At 38.7% G+C, this 20,838-nt stretch overlaps 1 protein-coding gene across 23 annotated transcripts in view; it reads right to left on the bottom strand.

The window, feature by feature from the left end:
- Nucleotides 1–20,838, bottom strand: part of NAALADL2 (N-acetylated alpha-linked acidic dipeptidase like 2) — a 1,369,567-nt gene that overhangs the window by 672,254 nt on the left and 676,475 nt on the right. Inside the window, exon 1 of one of the 23 annotated variants that reach the window (XM_011512616.3) lies at nucleotides 13,654–15,161. The exons of the other annotated variants lie outside the window; for them this stretch is intronic. Coding sequence (XP_011510918.1) covers nucleotides 13,654–13,679 — 26 coding nt within the window. The 5' untranslated portion in view covers nucleotides 13,680–15,161. Of the gene's footprint in view, nucleotides 1–13,653; nucleotides 15,162–20,838 lie in introns of those variants that run through there. 23 annotated transcript variants of the gene reach the window in all.

Here is a 20,838-nt window from a genome sequence, read left to right as displayed (position 1 = left end):
TCTCAGCATTGATTCAACTGCTGGGTAAGTTTTCTCAGTCTACATATCTCTGTATTCAGTCTTCTAGAATAGTCACAGTGATAATCTGCTTCATTCTCTTTTTTGACTTTTTGAACCTCAGTCTTCTCTTGGATTTACTTTCCTTTCTTGCATTTCTCACTCCATCCTCTGTTTTGAAACTCCTTTCACTATCTCCATCCAATTTGAAGTCCTCTAGGTCTGATCCCTCACCCCCGCCCCATGGCCAGCCTTTGAAGAGAGAGAAAAATTATTTTCTAAAGGAGGAAAATTAATTAAGTGGTAAAACATTCTTTTGGAAGATGGTGTTTGACATTATTATTATCAGGAGAGTTAAAAATTGGGTCAATCTCGGACTGGTGTGGTGGCTCAAGCCTGTAATCCCAGCACTTTGGGAGGCCGAGGCAGGTGGATCATCTGAGGTCAGGAGTTCGAGATCAGCCTGGGTAACCTAGCGAAACCCCATCTCTATTAAAAATACAAAAACAAAACAAAACAAAACAAAACAAACTTAGCTGGGTGTGGTGGCGGTGCCTGTAATCCCAGCTACTTGGGAGTCTGAGGCAGGAGAATCACTTGAACCCAGGAGGTAGCACTGAGCTGAGGTTGAGCCATTGCACTCTAGCCTGGGCAACAGAGGGAGACTCTGTCTCAAAAAAAAAAAAAAAAGGGTCAATCTCTTGTCATATTAATTCCATTTGTAGAAATGTAATCTAAAAAATATCTGAATGTGAGATATATTTTATGTATAAGATTATTTATAGAAATATTAATTTTAAGGTTAAAAAAGTGGTGATAATTTGCATGCACAAAAATAAGGATAGGTTAAATAAATTAAGGCATGTCATTTTATAGTATAGCATGCAGCCATTATAAATAATTACTAAGAATAAGTAAAAACGTAATTAGAAATAATGTGTTATGAAATTCTAATGATATAACGTTAGGTTAAATAAACTGGTTAAAATAATATATGTGGGTGAAACATTTAAAAAAATTATACATCCTTGTGCAAAGGAAACATATCAATCAATGTGCTAATTATGGTAAAACTAATGAAGGTAACCTTTTTTTCTATATTTATGCATTTTTCAATTTTTCCATAGTGGGAGATTATTATTGTGTAATGAGAAATATTTTTCTTTAGTATAAAAGAAAGAGACAAGCTTAAGACTACAAAATTTTATAATACAGATATTTAGTACTACTTGTCATCTTGTAAGGGGTCAATTTCAACAAATTCCATCATTAAGTTCCCAGAACAAAAGTTTAATTGGGGGTTTATCAAGGGAATTCTATAACACAGAAGTGTATTTTTGCCCACCAATGATGTATGTACTTCTTTTTTCCCAAAAGAATATTAGCTTGCCAAGAGTTATTTTTAAAACCAAAGCCTTATTTGATGAATCATTTCAAATAAATATCATAATTTTTATTGACTTATAGAAACACAAGGTCACTGTGACCTCTTAACCGTCAAAGATGGTAATCACACTAGACTCTTTAAAGTAGAAATCTGCTAAATAGTGTTGCCCTACATCAATCAAGCCTTCAATTGGTAGCAGATTTTAAAGCATGAGGTCATTTTTGAAGAACACCCTCATTACTGTGAAAATCCCATTTAGCATCTTCAGAAAGAAAAAAAAACTGGATTTTGATTTTTCTCTTCAAGCATGCTTATAAAAATTTGCATCACAATGTCTGCAATATTAAATGGCTTAAAGAGGAACAAATACATAGTTTTCTCTGACCCTAACATTGGCCTCCTGGTCCCCTAATCATTCCTTCAACCTATACCTGGGACAACTTACCTGCTACCTACAGTCTCAGTGCCACTTTAACCCGTCCTTCTTGGAGAAAGTTGAAAGCACTGGAATAGTTGAGCTTTATCCATTTTATTGAGAGATGTCCAATGACCATTTAAGCTAGACACAGTGACACCAAATATCCATGAAACAGTGATAAACTGCTTTAGAGCTTCCTGCCTCCCTCAAGTCAACTCTAAACTCTTGGCCCCACAATCTGACTTATGTCCTGTCTCAGCTTTAGTGTACATGTTTTCCCAGCCTTCTTTCTCCTCTTACACTGCAATGATGTCTCCTTCATCATTGGCTCCTTCAGAAACCAGAAGCACTGGCCCCTCAGATACTCTGCCTTACTATCTCACCTTATCTTCCCTCTCTACACCCTAAGGAGTAGGTTCACAATGGTTACCAAACTAAAAGAGTTGCTTTTTCAGTCACATAAAGCTTTTGCCCATATTCCCATTCCTTCTCCCCGTAACACTTGAACTTTGGGTCTGCATATAATTTACATTAGTCTTCTGTGTCAAGGTTCTGCTTCTGATATTTAATATGATGCCATAATGAGCTTCTCCAGGCTTATTCTTAACATTTTTCTCTAGAACTGATATTCTGTCTGGTTCCTAAAATTCTGCTCTCAGAACAACTTCCAATTTTTCTGGTGCTTTCTACTTAAATACATACTTATTTTATTGATCTCGGATTTCTTATCAAGACACCTGGCTATCTCTGACATTAGTTTTATCTATCCTCCAGTTACTATTCACAGGATCTTTCAGGATCACCTGCTCTGTTCTGAAAGGTAGTATTATCTTCATGATCTGCACTTTATTTCTATGGGCCTCTTGTTACAATTTGACTTTAGGTTTTGAAATCAACATCTTTCTTTTGACTGATTTTTTTTCCTCGGTAATTTTTAATCACTTTATTTGACTAACTTGGTGGTGTTTATTAAAAATCTTCATAAGCCAGCAAAAAATCCTACTATAAGCTTTATAGTGTTGGTTATTTACACACGCTTACTCTACAAATCTGTGTTTATGTTTTTGTGTGCATATCATTTTTTGAAAGAAGCCTAGGGATATTAACAAAGGAAATACAAGGATATTTTTATTACCGTATGAAGAAATATATGCCCTCATTCATCTTCCCAACACAATGAATTATCACTTTTCTTGGCACGTATATTAAATGATTTTGAAATAAACCCCTCACAGGTAATTATGATGCTCTATTAGAATTCTTCACATTAACCGAGAATTAACTCATTCCTCCCAGTGGAGAAATCTGTACTCTAGAACACTTACAGCGATTTTAAGCATAAACGTTTAAACTGTTGAGAGATATTATTTTTGAACAAAACATTATTTGCAGTAGTAGCAGACAGGAGCCATCTATTTGTTAATAAAGAGCTATAGACAACATAAGGAAACTATTACTCTATATCTCCGATAATAAAAGTAAAAAAGGGCAAAACTTACTCATCAATTAATGTAGGATGTTATGTTTTCACTCTATGTGGATATATTTGATATCTTATAATTTGAACTATAATATGTTTGTATAATTGTTGCTTTAGTTAAATTGATTTATGCTTTATTATTCTGATAAAATTTAAAGGCATTTTAAAAAATCAGTTATCTTGGAGCCAAGACAAAGAAGGTAGACAGGTATTCATGGTCTCACTTAGAGTGGCAGTGGTGGGAGAATGTTTAAGAAAAGTGATGATAGTCTTGAATTTTAAGTTATTCCCTGCTCAGTATCATCATACTTTATCTCCCTTACTTATTGTTCCACCCTCACCCTTAGTCTTCAAAAGAGCTTTATTAACTATTAAAAATGGAGACAGCATCTATACTCTGCTGTATTTTTTACTCAGCCTGTCTTTTCATGCTATATATTGAGAAAAAAGTAATATTTAGGTGTAAGGGTTATTTGAGAATTAGAGATTATGCACACAAAATACCAGGCACATAGGATCAATACATTGCAGCTGTTTTCCATTTTTAAGCTACAAAACAGTCATGAAAAAGGACCCCCCCAAAAAAGCTGAGTAGCTGATGACACTCATGATGAAGTAAATGTATGGATTATGTCAACTAGTATCATCACACTTTCAGGAGATACAATAGAAACGTGCACAAATAACTCTGCAGTTGGAAAACAAAAGTTGCAGATACAGGTTAAGCTTTGACTACAAGTTACCTTGAAGCAATTTGTCTAAAATCATTCTTCAAGGGAACTCATTTTCTTTACTGATATCTCACATGGCACTTGAGCACATATTACAAGACACAATGAGAAGAAACCAAACCAGAATAAAAGAAGCAAATAAACTGTGACTGTAGACAAGCCATGCACACATGGAAGACATAGTCACTGCAAATGTGTGTGTGTGAACAGGTAGATCCAAACTTAATTGTGTATACAACTATAGAAACACCCAGAAAACCACTAGTCACAGGCCAGATAGATGATTATCTGGGGAATTAGTAATTTTCATTATGTGCTTAAAGATGATGCCAACTAGTTGCTTGATTTGGGGAAAATGTTTTAATCTTTCTTATGTTCAGTTACATCACCTCAGAGTAAAAACATTCAAATGTTCATTTTGAATGTTGCCAAAATCAGTTGGCATTTCTATACACTAACCACAAGCTATTAAAAAATTAAGAAAATAATTCCACTGACAGTAGCATCAATTAGAATAAAATACTTAGTCTCCCTCTCCCTCTCCCCACGGTCTCCCTCTCCCTCTCTTTCCACGGTCTCCCTCTGATGCCAAGCCGAAGCTGGACTGTACTGCTGCCATCTGGGCTCACTGCAGCCTCCCTGCCTGATTCGCCTGCCTCAGCCTGCCGAGTGCCTGCGATTGCAGGCGCGCGCCGCCACGCCTGACTGGTTTTCGTATTTTTTTGGTGGAGACGGGGTTTCGCTGTGTTGACCGGGCTGGTCTCCAGCTCCTAGCTGCGAGTGATCCGCCAGCCTCGGCATCCCAAGGTGCCGGGATTGCAGACGGAGTCTGGTTCACTCAGTGCTCAATGGTGCCCAGGCTGGAGTGCAGTGGCGTGATATCGGCTCGCTACAACCTCCACCTCCCAGCCGCCTGCCTTGGCCTCCCAAAGTGCCGAGATTGCAGCCTCTGCCCAGCCGCCACCCCGTCTGGGAAGTGAGGAGCATCTCTGCCTGGCCGCCCATCGTCTGGGATGTGAGGAGCCCCTCTGCCTGGCTGCCCAGTCTGGAAAGTGAGGAGCGTCTCTGCCCGGCCGCCATCCCATCTAGGAAGTGAGGAGCGCCTCTTCCCGGCGGCCATCCCATCTAGGAAGTGAGGAGCGTCTCTGCCCGGCCGCCCATCGTCTGAGATGTGGGGAGCGCCTCTGCCCCGCCGCCCCGTCTGGGATGTGGGGAGCGCCTCTGCCCCGCCGCCCCGTCTGGGATGTGGGGAGTGCCTCTACCTGGCTGCGACTCCGTCTGGGAGGTGAGGAGCGTCTCTGCCCGGCCGCCCCGTCTGAGAAGAGAGGAGACCCTCTGTCTGGCAACCGCCCCGTCTGAGAAGTGAGGAGTCCCTCCGCCCGGCAGCCGCCCCATCTGAGAAGTGAGGAGCCCCTCCGCCTGGCAGCCACCCTATCTGGGAAGTGAGGAGCATCTCCGCCCGGCAGCCATCCCGTCCGGGAGGGAGGTGGGGGTCAGCCCCCGCCAGGAGAGCCGCCCTGTCCGGGAGGTGAGGGGTGCCTCTGCCCGGCCACCCCTACTGGGAAGTGAGGAGCCCCTCTGCCCAGCCAGCTGCCCCGTCCGGGAGGGAGGTGGAGGGGTCAGCCCCCCGCCCGGCCAGCCACCCCGTCCGGGAGGGAGGTGGGGGGGTCAGCCCCCTGCCCGGCCAGCCGCCCCGTCTGGGAGGGAGGTGGGGGGGTCAGCCCCCCCGCCCGGCCATTCTTCCCGTCCGGGAGTGAGGGGCGCCTCTGCCCGGCCGCCCCTACTGGGAAGTGAGGAGCCCCTCTGCCCAGCCAGCCGCCCCGTCCGGAGGAGGTGGGGGGGTCAGCCCCACCCGGCCAACAGACCCGTCGGGGAGGTGAGGGGCGCCTCTGCCCGGCCGCCCCTACTGGGAAGTGAGGAGCCCCTCTGCCCAGCCAGCCGCCTCGTCCGGGAAGGAGGTGGGGGGGTCAGCCCCACCCGGCCAGCTGCCCCCGTCTGGGAGGGAGGTGGGGGGGTCAGCCCCCCGCCCGGCCAGCCGCCCCGTCCGGGAGGTGAGGGGCGCCTCTGCCCGGCCGCCCCTACTGGGAAGTGAGGAGCCCCTCTGCCCAGCCAGCTGCCCCGTCCGGGAGGGAGGTGGGGGGGTCAGCCCCCCGCCCGGCCAGCCGCCCCATCCGGGCGGGAGGTGGTGGAATCAGCCCCCCGCCTGGCCAGCCGCCCCTACTGGGAAGTGAGGAGCCCCTCTGCCTGGCCAGCCGCCCCGTCCGGGAGGGAGGTGGGGGGGTCAGTCCCCCTCCCGGCCAGCTGCCCCGTCCGGGAGGTGAGGGGCGCCTCTGCCCGGCCACCCCTACTGGGAAGTGAGGAGCCCCTCTGCCCGGCCAGCCGCCCCGTCTGGGAGGGAGGTGGGGGGGTCAGACCCCGCCCGGCCAGCCGCCCCGTCCGGGAGGGAGGTGGGGGGGGTCAGCCCCCCGCCCGGCCAGGCCCCCCGTCCGGGAGGGAGGTGGGGGGGTCAGCCCCCTGCCCGGCCAGCCGCCCTGTCCGGGGGGTGAGGGGCGCCTCTGCCCGGCCACCCCTACTGGGAAGTGAGGAGACCCTCTGCCCGGCCACCACCCCATCTGGGAGGTGTACCCAACAGCTCATTGAGAACGGGCCAGGATGACAATGGCGGTTTTGTGGAATAGAAAGCGGGGAAAGGCGGGGAAAAGATTGAGAAATCGGATGGTTGCCATGTCTGTGTAGAAAGAGGTAGACATGGGAGACTTTTCATTTTGCTCTGTACTAAGAAAAATTATTATCCTGTTGATCTGTGACCTTACCCCCAACCCCGTGCTCTCTGAAACATGTGCTGTGTCCACTCAGGGTTAAATGGATTAAGGGCGGTGCAAGATGTGCTTTGTTAAACAGATGCTTGAAGGCAGCATGCTCATTAAGAGTCATCACCACTCCCTAATCTCAAGTATCCAGGGACACAAACACTGCAGAAGGCCGCAGGGTCCTCTGCCTAGGAAAACCAGAGACCTTTGTTCACTTGTTTATCTGCTGACCTTCCCTCCACTATTGTCCTATGACCCTGCCAAATCCCCCTCTGCGAGAAACACCCAAGAATGAACAATTAAAAAAAAAAAAAAAAGAATAAAATACTTAGAAATAAACTTAACCAAAGAGATGAAATAGCTGTTCAAGGAAAACTGTAAAACACTGATAAAAGAAATTTAAAAGACACAAATAAATGGAAAGATATAGCATGTACATGAATTAGAAGAATTAATATTGTTGAAATGTCCATACTACCCAAAGTCATTGACAGATTCAATGCAATCCCTATCAAAATTCCAATGGCATTTGTCACAGAAATAGAAAAAATAATCCTAAATTTGTATGGAACCATAAAAGACAGTGAACAGCCAAAGTAATCTTGATAAAACAGAACAGTGCTGGAGGTTTTACATGTCCTGATTTCAAACTATATTACAAAGCTACAGTAATCAAAATAGTGTGCCACTAGAATAAAAACAGACATATATACCAGTGAAACAGAATAGAACCCACAAATAGACACATACATGTGTCAAATTAGATGGCTTAAAGAGAAACAAATACATAATTCTATCTGACCCTCTCAATGGCCTCCTGGTGTTCAACTAATTTGATAAGGGTGCCAAGAATACACAATAGAGAAAAGATAGTTTCTTCAATATATGGTATTGGGAATGCTGAATATCTATAGGCAAAAGAATTGACATTGGACCCTTGTCTTACACCACGTACCAAAGTCAACTCAAAGTGGATTAAAAACTTCGAGGTAAGACCTGAAATCATAAACTCCTAGAAGAAAACATAGGGAAAAGTTCTGTGGCATTGGTCTTGACAAAGACTTTTTGGATACGATACCAAAAGCATAGGCAACAAAAGCAAAAATAAACAAGTGGGACTACATAAAACTAAAAAAGTTTCTTCATAGCAAGGAAATAATCAACAAAATGAAAAGGCAACCCACAGAATGGGAAAAAAATGTATTTGTAAACCTTATATCTGATATCTGATAAGAAGTTAATATCCAAAATTTATAAGAAGTTATAATATACAAAAGTTATAAAGGACTTATACAACCCGATATGAGACAACAAACAATGTGATTTTAAAAATGGGGAAGAAACCTTAATAGACATTTCTCCAAAAAAGATATAAAAATGGCCAACAAGTATATGAAAACGTATACAACATCGCTAATCACTAAGAAAATGCAAATCCTACCTACAATAAGAAATCACCTCACAGCTGATAGGATAGCTATTATCATTAAGACAAGAGACAAGTGTTGGCAAGGATGTGGAGAAAAGTACACTATTGTTGGGAATGTAAATTGATACAATCATTATGGAAAACAGTACAGAAGTTCCTCAAAAAGTTAAAAAAGGACTACTATATGATCTAACAATTCTCATTCTGGGAATACATTCAAAGAAAATAAAATTAGTATCTCAAAGTGATATCTGTACTTTCATATTCAGTGCAGCATTACTCACAGTAGCCAAGATATGGGAACGACCTAAATGTCTGTCAACGGATGAATGGATAAAGGAAATGTAAGATATATACATATACATGTGTATAGATATACAATGAAATATTATTAAGCCTTAAAAAGAAGGAAATCCTGCCATTTGTAATAACATATCTTAATCTGAAAAACTATGCTAAGTGAAATAACTCAAACACAGACAGTTTACACTTTTATGCAGACTCTACCAAGTCAAATTCATAAAAGCAGAGTATAGAATGGTCATTGCCAAGGACTGGACAGGGGTGGGGAATGGGGAGATGCTGGTCAAAGACTACAAAGTTTTTAGTTAAAAGATTAATGAGCTCCAGGGATCTATTGTACACCATGGTGACTAATGTAAACCACAGTGACTATAGTTAATAACGTACTGTTTACTTGAAATTTTACAAGAAAGCAGATTGTAAGTGTTCTCACCACACACACACACACAAAATGGTAACTATAGGTAGTAATGGATGTGTTAATTCGACTTTGGTGGCAGGATGTGGTGGCTCATGCCTGTGATCTCAGCAATTTGGGAAGCTGAGACAGGAAGATCACATGAAGCCAGTAATTCAACCAGTCTGGCCAACATGACAAAACCCTGTCTCTATTAAAATTATAAAAAAAAAAAAATTAGCCAGGCATAGGGGTGCACACCTCTAGTCCCAGCTACTCCAGGGGCTGAGACAGGAGAATCACTTGAATCTGGGAGGCAGGGGTTGCAATGAGACAACATTCTGCCACTGCATTCCAGCCTGGGTGACAGAATGGGACTCTCTCTCAAAAACAAACAAACAAACAAACAAAAAAAAATTGGTAACTAGTACACAATCTATACATAGCTCAAATCATCATGTGGTACATCTTGAATATATACATTTTTTGTGAGTTAAATATTTTAAATAAAAATAAAATTTAATAAATTTAAAAATAAAAGTAAAAATATTGGATTTGATGGCATTTACAGTCTCTTCTAGTTCTAACATCCTCTGATCCTATGAATCTATATAAATCACAAAGAATCTGAAATGAAAAGAATGCACTGGAGCTTTATAACACTTCCCTTTGTTAAATTCACTCATATCTAAATCTTGATATTGAAAATACATTTCTCCTTGTATTCCCTTATACCTACTGCACAATTTTCAAATGAACTGAAACAATACAGCAGGACATTTTTCCAATCTTCTCTGCAATGATGAGAATACAGAACAAAATCAAATAAATGAAATCTCAGCAGGCCATAGGATTGCCTACTAAAAACACAAAAGAGAAAAAAAAGGTAAATTGAAGAAATGATACTAATCAAATGGTCCTTTGTTCTTTGAAGTAGCTAATCCTTAATTATTGAAAATTAAATCATTTATTACAAATGTTGAAAAATTAGACAACCATGATCTTCAAATATGTAAGAATTCAAAAACCTTTACCTTTACCTTACATTTTTCTTTCTAAAGAAAGATTGAAATTAATTTTAATCACAAGCACTTTCTTCACAATTAAAAATGCTTTAAATAAAATATAGTTAATAGCATTAATTTTCTAAACTATTATCCAAGATGCTCCTGTATTTATATTTTGCCTTCCAATAACACTGTAATTCTTCCAGGAGAGAAATCTTGACAACCTTCTATATTACTTAACCAAGAGATGATAACATTCATAGATGTGTACACTTCATACAAAATATATTTCTATTCATGTGTTTTGTATAATTATAAATGCAAATATACTGAGCAGTAAAGGAAAACTCATAAAAGTATACATAATTGAAATCAATGAACTATAACTACACTATATCACATCTATTATTAATATTTTGTGTTTTTACTTCCATCATTTTTATATCACGTGTCTTTCATAATATTTATTCATTTATTTATGTAGAGACAGGGTCTTGCTATGTTGCCCAGGCTGGTCTCAAACTCCTGAGCTCAAGCCATGCTCTTGCCTCAGTACCCTGAGTAGTTGGGAATATAGGCACTCACCCCCATGCCCAGCTATTAATAATATTTATTTTATATTGAAAACAGTATGAACAGTAAATAGTGTTAACTGAAATTATTAAGTATAGTCAGCATAAATATAATAATGTAAAGAGTACTTAATAGTAATATTTCCAGATAAGGGGTCACAAAATGTGTAATTAAGATGATAGTTTAACTGAAAGAAAAGCAGGGGACATTTCTTCCTCTTCAGATTCTATTAATATCATGGTCAACATCATAATTGGAAAAGTCTGCCCTTGGCATTTCTGCAGGAGCCCTCCTATGAACTAGGTAAACATAGTTTATGATGCCCAAAGGTGTCCCATGTCAGTCCTGAAAGTAAATATTTCTGCTATTCATAGACTTGCTATGTAAACTTCATGAATCTTTGGAAATTACCGCAGGGATACCTTATAGGAGAAGAACAGATTCCCAAAGCAATTCTAATCATCCAAGGTACCACAGGCTGGGATATAATCTATGACCTAAACTAAAATGCTTCACTTTGGGGGGTAGCGGGAGATAATGAAGTGAAATGATAAATATTTATTGTATTTACCTTTTTCTGAATGACATGTCATGATGTCTGGGGATCTGTTTATTACATGAGCACTCCTGTGAACGGTGTCCCAGAGCAGTGGCAAACAGACTAACATTTCTTGAGATTTACTTCAAGAGAGGCCAAGCTCAAAGCAATGGCCCTGGTTCCTCAGGGCGATTTCAGCAGATTCACCTAAGTATCCTGTTTCTTTACCCCTCAGACCCATATTAACTGAATATTAACATATTCTACAGTCGATACTCATAACATTTACCATGACACTTTAATAAGACCAACAACTCACATTCAATTTTTAGAATGTTAGTAAACATTCTTAAAAAAAAAAAAAAAAAGGTAGCTTGAACAAGTTGAATGCCCTTGGGAAAAATACTTAATCCCTTTTGGTTTTGATAAATCTGGACTATCTTTGAGATTTCTGTTGCAAATATTTATGTGTTTACCTGTCAACCTCAGGAAACTTCATTAATCGTTAATTTGTGTATTAAATACATTCTCTTTGATGAATTGCTCAGCATAACAGTGGAAAAATAGTTTTGAGTTTTGTTTCGTTTTGTTTTGTTTTGGTGACAATAAAGCTCTCCATTATCATATATAATTCTAACACCTGTTCTCAGAAAATAAGTTACATGTGTTCATTTGAAATATATATATTTTCCTTTAACATATCTTGGAACTAAGATTGAATTTTAAAAATGGAATTGTTCAGTTACTTTTGAAATGCCAGTTTGATAGGCTGATAAAGTTACCAAGATAGCTCTAAATCAGTGAAATTGCCAATACTGTGTGCAGTGAGTGAGACAGCTCAGCTGATCCCAGAACCAATAAAAGAAATTATGTCTGCTTTAAAATGTACCTTTTCCCTTATACCTCTATCAAATTAAAGCCCATAGTCTGCACAATCAGAATTTATTAGAGCTAATGCTTTTTTTCCTAAGTCAATCGCCTCTTTTATCTGTTCTTCCTATCTCCAATTCCTCTTTTCTGGTCTCACCTGAATCCACTCCAATGAGGCTTTTGCCCTTCCTACCCCCCAGAAACTATTCTTGTTGCAATCACCAATTACTCCTTCTCCCATACACATACACTCACTTTGCTAAATCCATTAGTCAATTGCCAGATCTCATTGTTTTATGTATAGCAAGGGCATTTTGACAAAGTTGAACACTACATACTCTTAGAATTCCAAATTTTGGCTGTTTTGGATTTCCTGTAAATTCAGGAGTATTGCCTTTCAATTTCAAGTCTCCTATGCTGGTTCTGCCTCATTAAAATGTTGGAATGCCTCAAGTCTAAGTCAGTCCTTATGTCTCATCTCTCTTCTCTTTACACTTACTCTTTTGGTAATCTCCACTAGTCTCACAACTTTAAACGACACTAATATGCTGACAATTCTAAAACTTTTATCTCCAAAATAGACTCTGCTGAACTATGCACTTAACATATGTTCTTGGATGTCTAGTAGGCTTCTCGAACCTGTTCGGTTCCAGATACCAGCTTCTATTCTTGTACAAAATAGGTGCCTCCTTAAATCTTTGTCATCTCATTTAATAAACTGTATGTTCTTTTAGCCACTTAGGCCAAAAAATGTAAAAGTATTCTTATATCAATTATTTTCTCTCACATTCCATATGTAATCAATCAAAGGATCCCGTTCATTTGACCTTCAAAACACATAAAGGATCCAATATCTTTGCACCACCCCTATTTATACCATCCTGGTACAAGCCACCATCATCTACCATCTGGATTAGTGCAATAGGGCTCCCTGTTCTCTCCCACTTAGCGCTATTTTCAGCAAAGTAGTAGAGTGATCTTGTAAAAACCTAATTTGGATCATGTCACTCCTTTGCTTAACATTCTCCAGTAGCTTCTGGAACCTTTTCAGAGAAAAAAACAAACTCGACTTACAATGGCCCACAATGTTTCACCCTGTACTATCCAGTATGTTAACCACCAGCTACCAGGTAGTTTAATTGAAATTAAACCATCCATTTAATTTCAATTAAATTGAAAATAAGTAAAATTTAAAATACATTTTTTACTTCACAACAGCCATATTTCTCAAGTGCTCAGTAGCCACATGTGGCTAGTGGCTGCTATACTGAACAATGCAGATCTAGAACACTTCCATCACCATAGAGTGTTCCATTAGAAAGTGTTACTCTATACGATCTACTTCTCCCTATTATTTTTCTGACTCATTTCACCCATGTTTGAAAACTGCTCACTAGATTGATCTTCCCTAAAAACAAAACTTTAGTGCTCATGTCTCTACTCTAATATATTGTCTATCCCCATTTCTGCCTATTGAAATTCTATTAACCTTTAAGTTCCATATGAGAGGACATTATCTCATAAAGTTTCTTTGGGACACAATACTCTCACCAAATAGCTATCTTTCTTTCTTGAAACACCCATATTGCTGTGTTAGAATGTGTCATATGATATATTCTTATTCTATCATGTATGATAATAATTTAAGCACTTTTCTTAATCCCCTACTAATGTGTGGCACACATTCTTGTGTAACACATCACTCTTTCTTACCTCTTTACTTTCTTGCTGAATTCCATAAAGAAGTTTGAAAAGCCTCCCTTGCAGCTAGGGAAGGCTATATGACAAAAATATGCCCAATGTAAAATGAAAGCCTGTTGAAAGATTCGGGAAAAGCATTTATCTTCCTGATAAAAGTGATTAATGTGGCTACAGTTGCCTTTCCTCTCCTATTCCTGCTTAGATGCCTAGATCTGTGGTGGCTTTCTAATGACCCTGAGGTAAAAAGTGTAAGGATGAAAACCAAGATGTTGAAACTGGCAATGTCACAATGTGCATGGGTTTGTGACATCATCAATGATCAACTGAACCAACAACAGTGACCACCTAACTCCAAACATCTTGTTTTATTTGTCTAAGCCAATGTTAACTGAATTTTCCGTTACTTGAAACTTAAAACTGCTATTATTACTTCGCCTAATTATATGTTAGATTGTAGAATTTGATCATGCCCAAATAGCTTCAGTATTCTCACGAAAAGCGGCAGAGACCCCTACAAACAGAAGAAGTCAAATATTTAAATGAAGTGGAACCAAGTTAGATAATCCACTTAACCACATAGACACAAACACAAGAGATGGGCAAAAACAACACAGAGGTCTGCAATCTGATTTGGAAAGTATCTTAGATGGCTACCCTGATGTTCTTTTCTCTTTCCTTAAGAGGAAAAAAACTATCCCTTTGCAAGTACAAATATTACATTTTTAGACAAAAAGAAAAAACACAAAAATTGAATAACATATAGCTTTGTTCTTAAGAAACATGATATGGTTGAAGAAAACAAAACTGATAATCAAGAATGCTTAAGTGCTTAATGCTAATATACTGTCAGAGCACAAAATTTAACATGGTCAATTGTGTTTTATAGAAGATTGGTAAGGGCTTTGATAATGTTTCACAGTGGAGGAAATACGTAAGTTGACTCTTGAAAGATTAATATGTATTCACTAGAGATACAGAAGAGGGGATGTAAGGCAGAGGCAGCAGTTTAAGCTAAGAACACATGGAAAGTAAACGGTAGGGTGCATCTAGACAACTGCAGGTAACCCAGCTGGAGGCACAGTAGAAAGAGAAAGTCCGAAATAGAGGAGCCAGGTCATGACCTGAAGCCATAATTAAGAATTTGGATAGTTTTCTGTAATTAATATGTGACAATGAGTATATCAAGAACAATGTCAAATTTTTATTAGGGCATAGCACCCAAGCACTAGTGTGGATAGGCACTATGCCAAGTACTCGGAAGTTAAAAAGGTTTCATGACAGAAATCATGACTTGGGACCATTGCCCTACCATCTATTAGTACCACCATCCGTACATGTCCTGAACTGCATTAGTCATTGCTTAGTTCAAAAGTCTGAGCACTTTATAATCAACAAAAATCTCCATATTCTAATGTCTTCTCTTGGTTTAAGGACTTTTCCAAGTGATTTTGTCCTTCCTATTTTAAAAATTTTAAAGGTAATTTTTAAAAGATGTCTGCTATGGCTTGAATGTCCCCTCCAAAACTCATGTTGAACTTTAATTGCCATTGTAACTGTATTAATAGGTAGGAATTTTAAGAGGTGATTAGGCCACAGGGCTTTGCCCTCATAAATGGATTAATGTCATTATCATGAAAATGGGTTCATTATCATAGGAATGGGTTCCTTATAAAAAGATGAGTTTGGCTCCCTTTTTGCCTTTCTCTTGCTGACATTCTCTTGCCTGTCCACCTTCTGATATAAAATAATGAAGCAAGAAGGTCCTTACAAGATGCCACCTCCTTGATCTTGGACTTCTCAGCCTTGAGAACCATGATAAATAAATTTCTATTGTTTATAAATCACTCAGCCTGTGGCATTCTGTTATGGCTGCACAAAACAGATTGAGACAATGTTCATATAAATTGTTCCTCTAACTGGAAAATGCAAATGTGAGTGCAGTGAGGCCAGAGGGGAAGAGAGAATGGGAGGAGATAATAAAGAGAAAGCTGCTTCAAGCAAACCCCAGATATAAGCAAGACCCATTAAACAGGAAACCCCCAATTTATAACCTAATTTAATACTAGATGATAAATTCTAAGAATTCTCAGGTAGTGCTGCTCATAGCTCCCTTTCTTGCCTAATGATATGCCAATAAGTTATCTTCTTGAAGTCCCTTAGTCAACTTTGTTTGGCTTCCAATATTTAATGTCTCATTACACCTATTCATAAACATGAATATACTTAATATTTTACATCTCAATGCACCTTTCAGGAGCATTTAAAAGAAAAACAAGTTCAAGGCCAAAACCAATGCTTGGTTCACAGTCACGTGAAATTGGGGGATTGCACTGGATATTCATACAATAAAACTTTTCCAGTGCATAAATAAAGCCAACACATATCCTTATCACTGTTGATTGCAGTGGCCCAGTGGCAATCAACCAGTATGCAGAATGGCCCTCTATTTCCTTCCTGAGGCAATCATGAACAAAAGTTTATATCAGCATAGGCAGGGGCTTATTTATAACCAGAAAAAGAAAATCCTTTGTAAAAGTGGGATTCACAAGGTATGTTCCACCTATTCACCGTCTAGCTCCCCTAACAATATAGAGCTGACTTTAATCAACTACCAATTCAGGACAGCATAATTATTTTCATCATTTCCTTTCAACTATTACAATGTGTCGCCATTGTGGCAGTAAAGACAGGACGGGAAAGAAAAAGAAATGCAGAGATCACAGATACAAGAATGAAACCAGTAAAAAGTGGTAGAAGCTTGTCCTGTCTTTTATATAAAATCTCCCCTAAATACTGGCCTCTATTCTGAGAAAGAAAAGGAAAAAAATGCATTTTAGTTACATCAAAAAGTCAACCAAACTGTGGCCAGAGGAACATATGGAGAAACCCATCTTGAATCTGGGGGTATCTTGGCTCTGTGCTCTGTGGAATGAGGACCTGCATAGGGAGGATGCCCAGGGTACTAACTAAAATAGTGGAAGCCTGTTGGCCCAAATCTGTAAACAAAAGTGTGATGTGGATGAATATGTAGGTTTCAATTTTAACTGGATGTTGGAATTTCCTGGACTTTTCCCGTAAGAGCAACAATTATTTCCAGTTAGCTTCATAAAAGGGGGTGTTCCTCAGCTCTCTTACCCTCAGGTAACAGCTGCAACCACAGCCAGTAATGAAAGTGTTGTATCTTACCTGTCCAGAGGAGGGCGCCAAAATGAGTTTCTGCTCTTCACCCTATCCATTAGTTTGCCCCATGCTCTGGTTGTGAAACATCTAGTTCTCCACTTTGCAGGCCAAGAGGTAGCCAAGGACAACAGTAAAGTAAGCTTGAATGTTTAATCAGTTGCATATATTGTTTGTTAAAGCCCAAGACAAAGAACCTAAGACAAGTCAGGTGGCAAGTATGTAATCAGTGATGACCCAGCCATCACCAACACACTTATAGATCTGTATGGCCGTTTGGCCAGACCCTCAAACAAGCATAAAGTAAATTTCTATTCCTTGTTATAGAAACAGATTCAACCTTATTACTTGTCTTCAGTCAGGATCAGAGAAAATATTAACCTAAACTAGAAGATGTTAATTTTTAATTATATTTGACAAGAATGTAGGATACCACTTAAAAGGTAGATGCAAAAAGGGGGACTCATCAGAGAAACAAAAAGAGGTGTCCATGACTCTATCAATAATTCTTTCAATGAATCAATATATAGCTTTATGAAAGACGTGTGAATCAAGACATCATTTGTTGAATGATTGATTTCTTATTAGCCCAAATTAGTCTTGTTCTATTTGAAAACTAACTTTTTAAGATTATACCTATATAACAACAAAACAAGAATTGGTTTGAACAGTTTTATCAACCAATTAGACAACTGAAGTTTTGTTTGGGGTTTTCAAAGAACAAAAAGGGTCAATAATAAAACAATACAGCACAGGTGTTGAAAATAGCTACACTTTTCAACCAGTTGTGTTACAATCATCTAGACATAGCAAAAGTGAGCTGAATTGAAGATAACAGACTTTTTATTGCAAGACCATTGTAACATGCAATTATTAAAATTCATTAATACTTGGACCAATGCAATTTCATTATCTCTGATCGATTTCAAGCATTATTTTTAATGGCCTTCACTCTTGTCATTTCAGTTAGAACTGCATGAACACCAGTTTAGTGGAACAACACACAGTCCTTTTTTATGAGATTAAGTTCTTGGCTTTAATAACAGGTCCCAAAGGAGTAAACTGCTAAATACAGAAGACCAGATGCCTCTACAAACACTATTTAGAAATCCATACCTTTTAGAGGATTTGTTTTAATAGATTTCTATGTTTTTAATGCCAGAAAAACATAGCACATTAAACAGGGGTTTTAATTACATTATACTCCATAGCACTGGGCTTTTCTGAAAGGAAGAACCCAGAGCATGGTTGTAAAATGTCTACATGGAAAAGATGAAACACAAGTATTATCTGATCTTAAAATCATCTTTTTCTCAGTCTTAGGAAAGTACAGTCAGGAAAAAGTGGGCTTCTTACTTCTGCATCCACTGCTAAAGCAGCAAATACTGTTGACGGTACATCTAAATACCATCAAAATCCATTCCCTTGCTTCCATTTCCATGGGTTTTGCATGATTCAAACTTCAATAGCAGTGCAAACAATAATTAGAATCATTACAACACCGGCCTTTCCCCTCTCACCCTTGTTTAACTTTTTCCTCATATAATTCATCCTCCATGCTGTTTCCTATTCTTTATATATATATATATGTATATATATACACATACACATACACACTTACATAAGCTATATAAGTCATATACATCTTATATATATACTTTTATATATAGATACATAAGTATATATATACTTTTATATATATATCTATATATAGTTTTATATATAGATATATAAGTATATATCTATTCTTATTTTACATTATATATCTATATCTATATCTATATATACACACCTTACTAAGTGACTCCTCAACCTTCAAGTTAAACAAACTAAAAACATCTTTAGATGTCATATAAGGCTTTTCATAATCTGACTTCGACTTATAATTATATTTCTTTCTCTTCCTCTTCTCCTTTCCTTACCTCCTCTTCTCACTCTCTCTCTCCCTCTCTGTCTCTGCCTCTCTTCCCACCTCCTTTGTCTTTCTCAAATAACCTTGCCTCTACATCCTATAGTCCTGCCATGTAGAACTAAAGGCCATTTCCAAATACTACAAATAACTCTGTACCTTTAGACCATATACCTGGAATATTATTTGTTCCTGCCTCTGGCTGGAATAATCCTTCAAAACTAATTCAAATTTTTATTATCCTTCTGTAAATTCACCCCTGTTCATTAAAGCTTTTTTATTAGTTTCTAGTTAGATGTTTTTATACTGTTTGGTTATATGGCACTTTATTCAAACTTTATCATTTCACTGAATATTATTATTTATTATTTCTCATCCCTGCTTCCTAACAGTTTCAGAGGTTTTTGAAATGTGTAAATCTAACTTAGGTATTTTAAAATTTCTTGTGCCTCAATATTTACCACACTGTAAGCATATGGTCAATAATGACCACTGGGAAAAAAAAAAACGTATAAATGCAATTTAAGAATTTGGATTTATCTGTAAATGAAACAAAGTTAATATATTTTAATTGTGAAAATCCTCACATGTTATAATAGGCAACAATTTAATTTTTTGCTACCTGATGACCAGCATATCTTAGCCAAAGGGGAAAAAATGGACCATATTAACAACATACTTTGCAAAACAGATATCTGAGTACCACAGCTATAATTTTGAGTCTAAGAAGCCCCAGAAATAATCAATATCATCAAAGCAGTAAGCTTAGGAGATAAATGGGCAGCTGGTGTCATTCTCCATTCATCATGATATTGTTACAGCAGAGATTGTGCAGAACTATAATCTATTCTGACAGTGCTTACTGATCCAGAACTCTATTGCAGATTTTTATAACTTGCATTTTTAAAAATGCATTAGAAACTTTGATTTAGACATTATAGAGTATTGAATAAAAGAGACAACCAAATAAGTTATTGTTCTCTTGTGTGTGGCACCACTATACCATGTGCTGACTGGTCTTTTCACAATTTAATGGTTTGTTTACCGCCTCCTGCCTGCTGTTCTCATTAAAGCACATCATCTGGTGATTACAAAGTGATAATTTATAGTTTTTCCCAAGGCCAGTTTTATTTTATTTATTTTTATGCTTTATTTAATTATTTTTTTAATGATCCAAAGCCCCACTAGCATACTCATTATTGATACACAACAATCAGGCAACTCAGTTTAGTTCTGTGATCTATTGCTACTATCGAGACTTAGAGGAACATTTTGAGCTATTCAGAATGATGAAATTCGTATTATTATTATTATACTTTAAGTTCTAGGGTACATGTGCACAACGTGCAGGTTTGTTACATATGTATACATGTGCCATGTTGGTGTGCTGCACCCATTAACTCGTCATTTACATTAGGTATATCTCCTAATGACTGGCCTCCCCCCCACCCTACGACAGGCCCCAGTGTGTGATGTTCCCCATCCTGTTTCCAAGTGTTCTCATTGTTCAGTTCCCACCTGTGAGTGACAACATGTGGTGTTTGATTTTCTGTCCTTGCAATAGTTTGCTCAGAATGATGGTTTCTAGCTTCATCCATGTCCCTACAAAGGACATGAACTCATCATTTTTTATGGCTGCATAGTATTCCATGGTGTGTACATGCCACATTTTCTTAATCCAGTCTACCATTGATGGACATTTGGGTTGGTTCCAAGTCTTTGCTATTGTGAATAGTGCCACCATAAACATACGTGTGCACATGTCTTATAGCAGCATGATTTATAATCCTTTGAGTATATATCCAGTAATGGAATTGCTGGGTCAAATGGTATTTCTAGTTCTAGATCCTTGAGGAATTGCCGCACTGTCTTCCACAATGGTTGAACTAGTTTACAGTCCCACCAACAGTGTAAAAGTGTTCCTATTTCTCCACATCCTCTCCAGCACCTGTTGTTTCCTGACTTTTTAATGATCGCCATTCTAACTGGTGTGAGATGGTACCTCATTGTGGTTTTGATTTGCATTTCTCTGATGGCCAGTAATGATGATGAGCATTTTTTCATGTGTCTGTTGGCTGCATAAATGTCTTCTTTTGAGAAGTGTCTGTTCA

The sequence above is a fragment of the Homo sapiens genome, chromosome 3, assembly GCF_000001405.40.
Source record: "Homo sapiens chromosome 3, GRCh38.p14 Primary Assembly".
In the NCBI taxonomy this organism is placed as follows: Eukaryota; Metazoa; Chordata; class Mammalia; order Primates; family Hominidae; genus Homo; species Homo sapiens.
The sequence above is the reverse complement of the archived record's forward strand: the minus strand, read 5'-3'. Positions and strand labels throughout refer to the sequence as shown.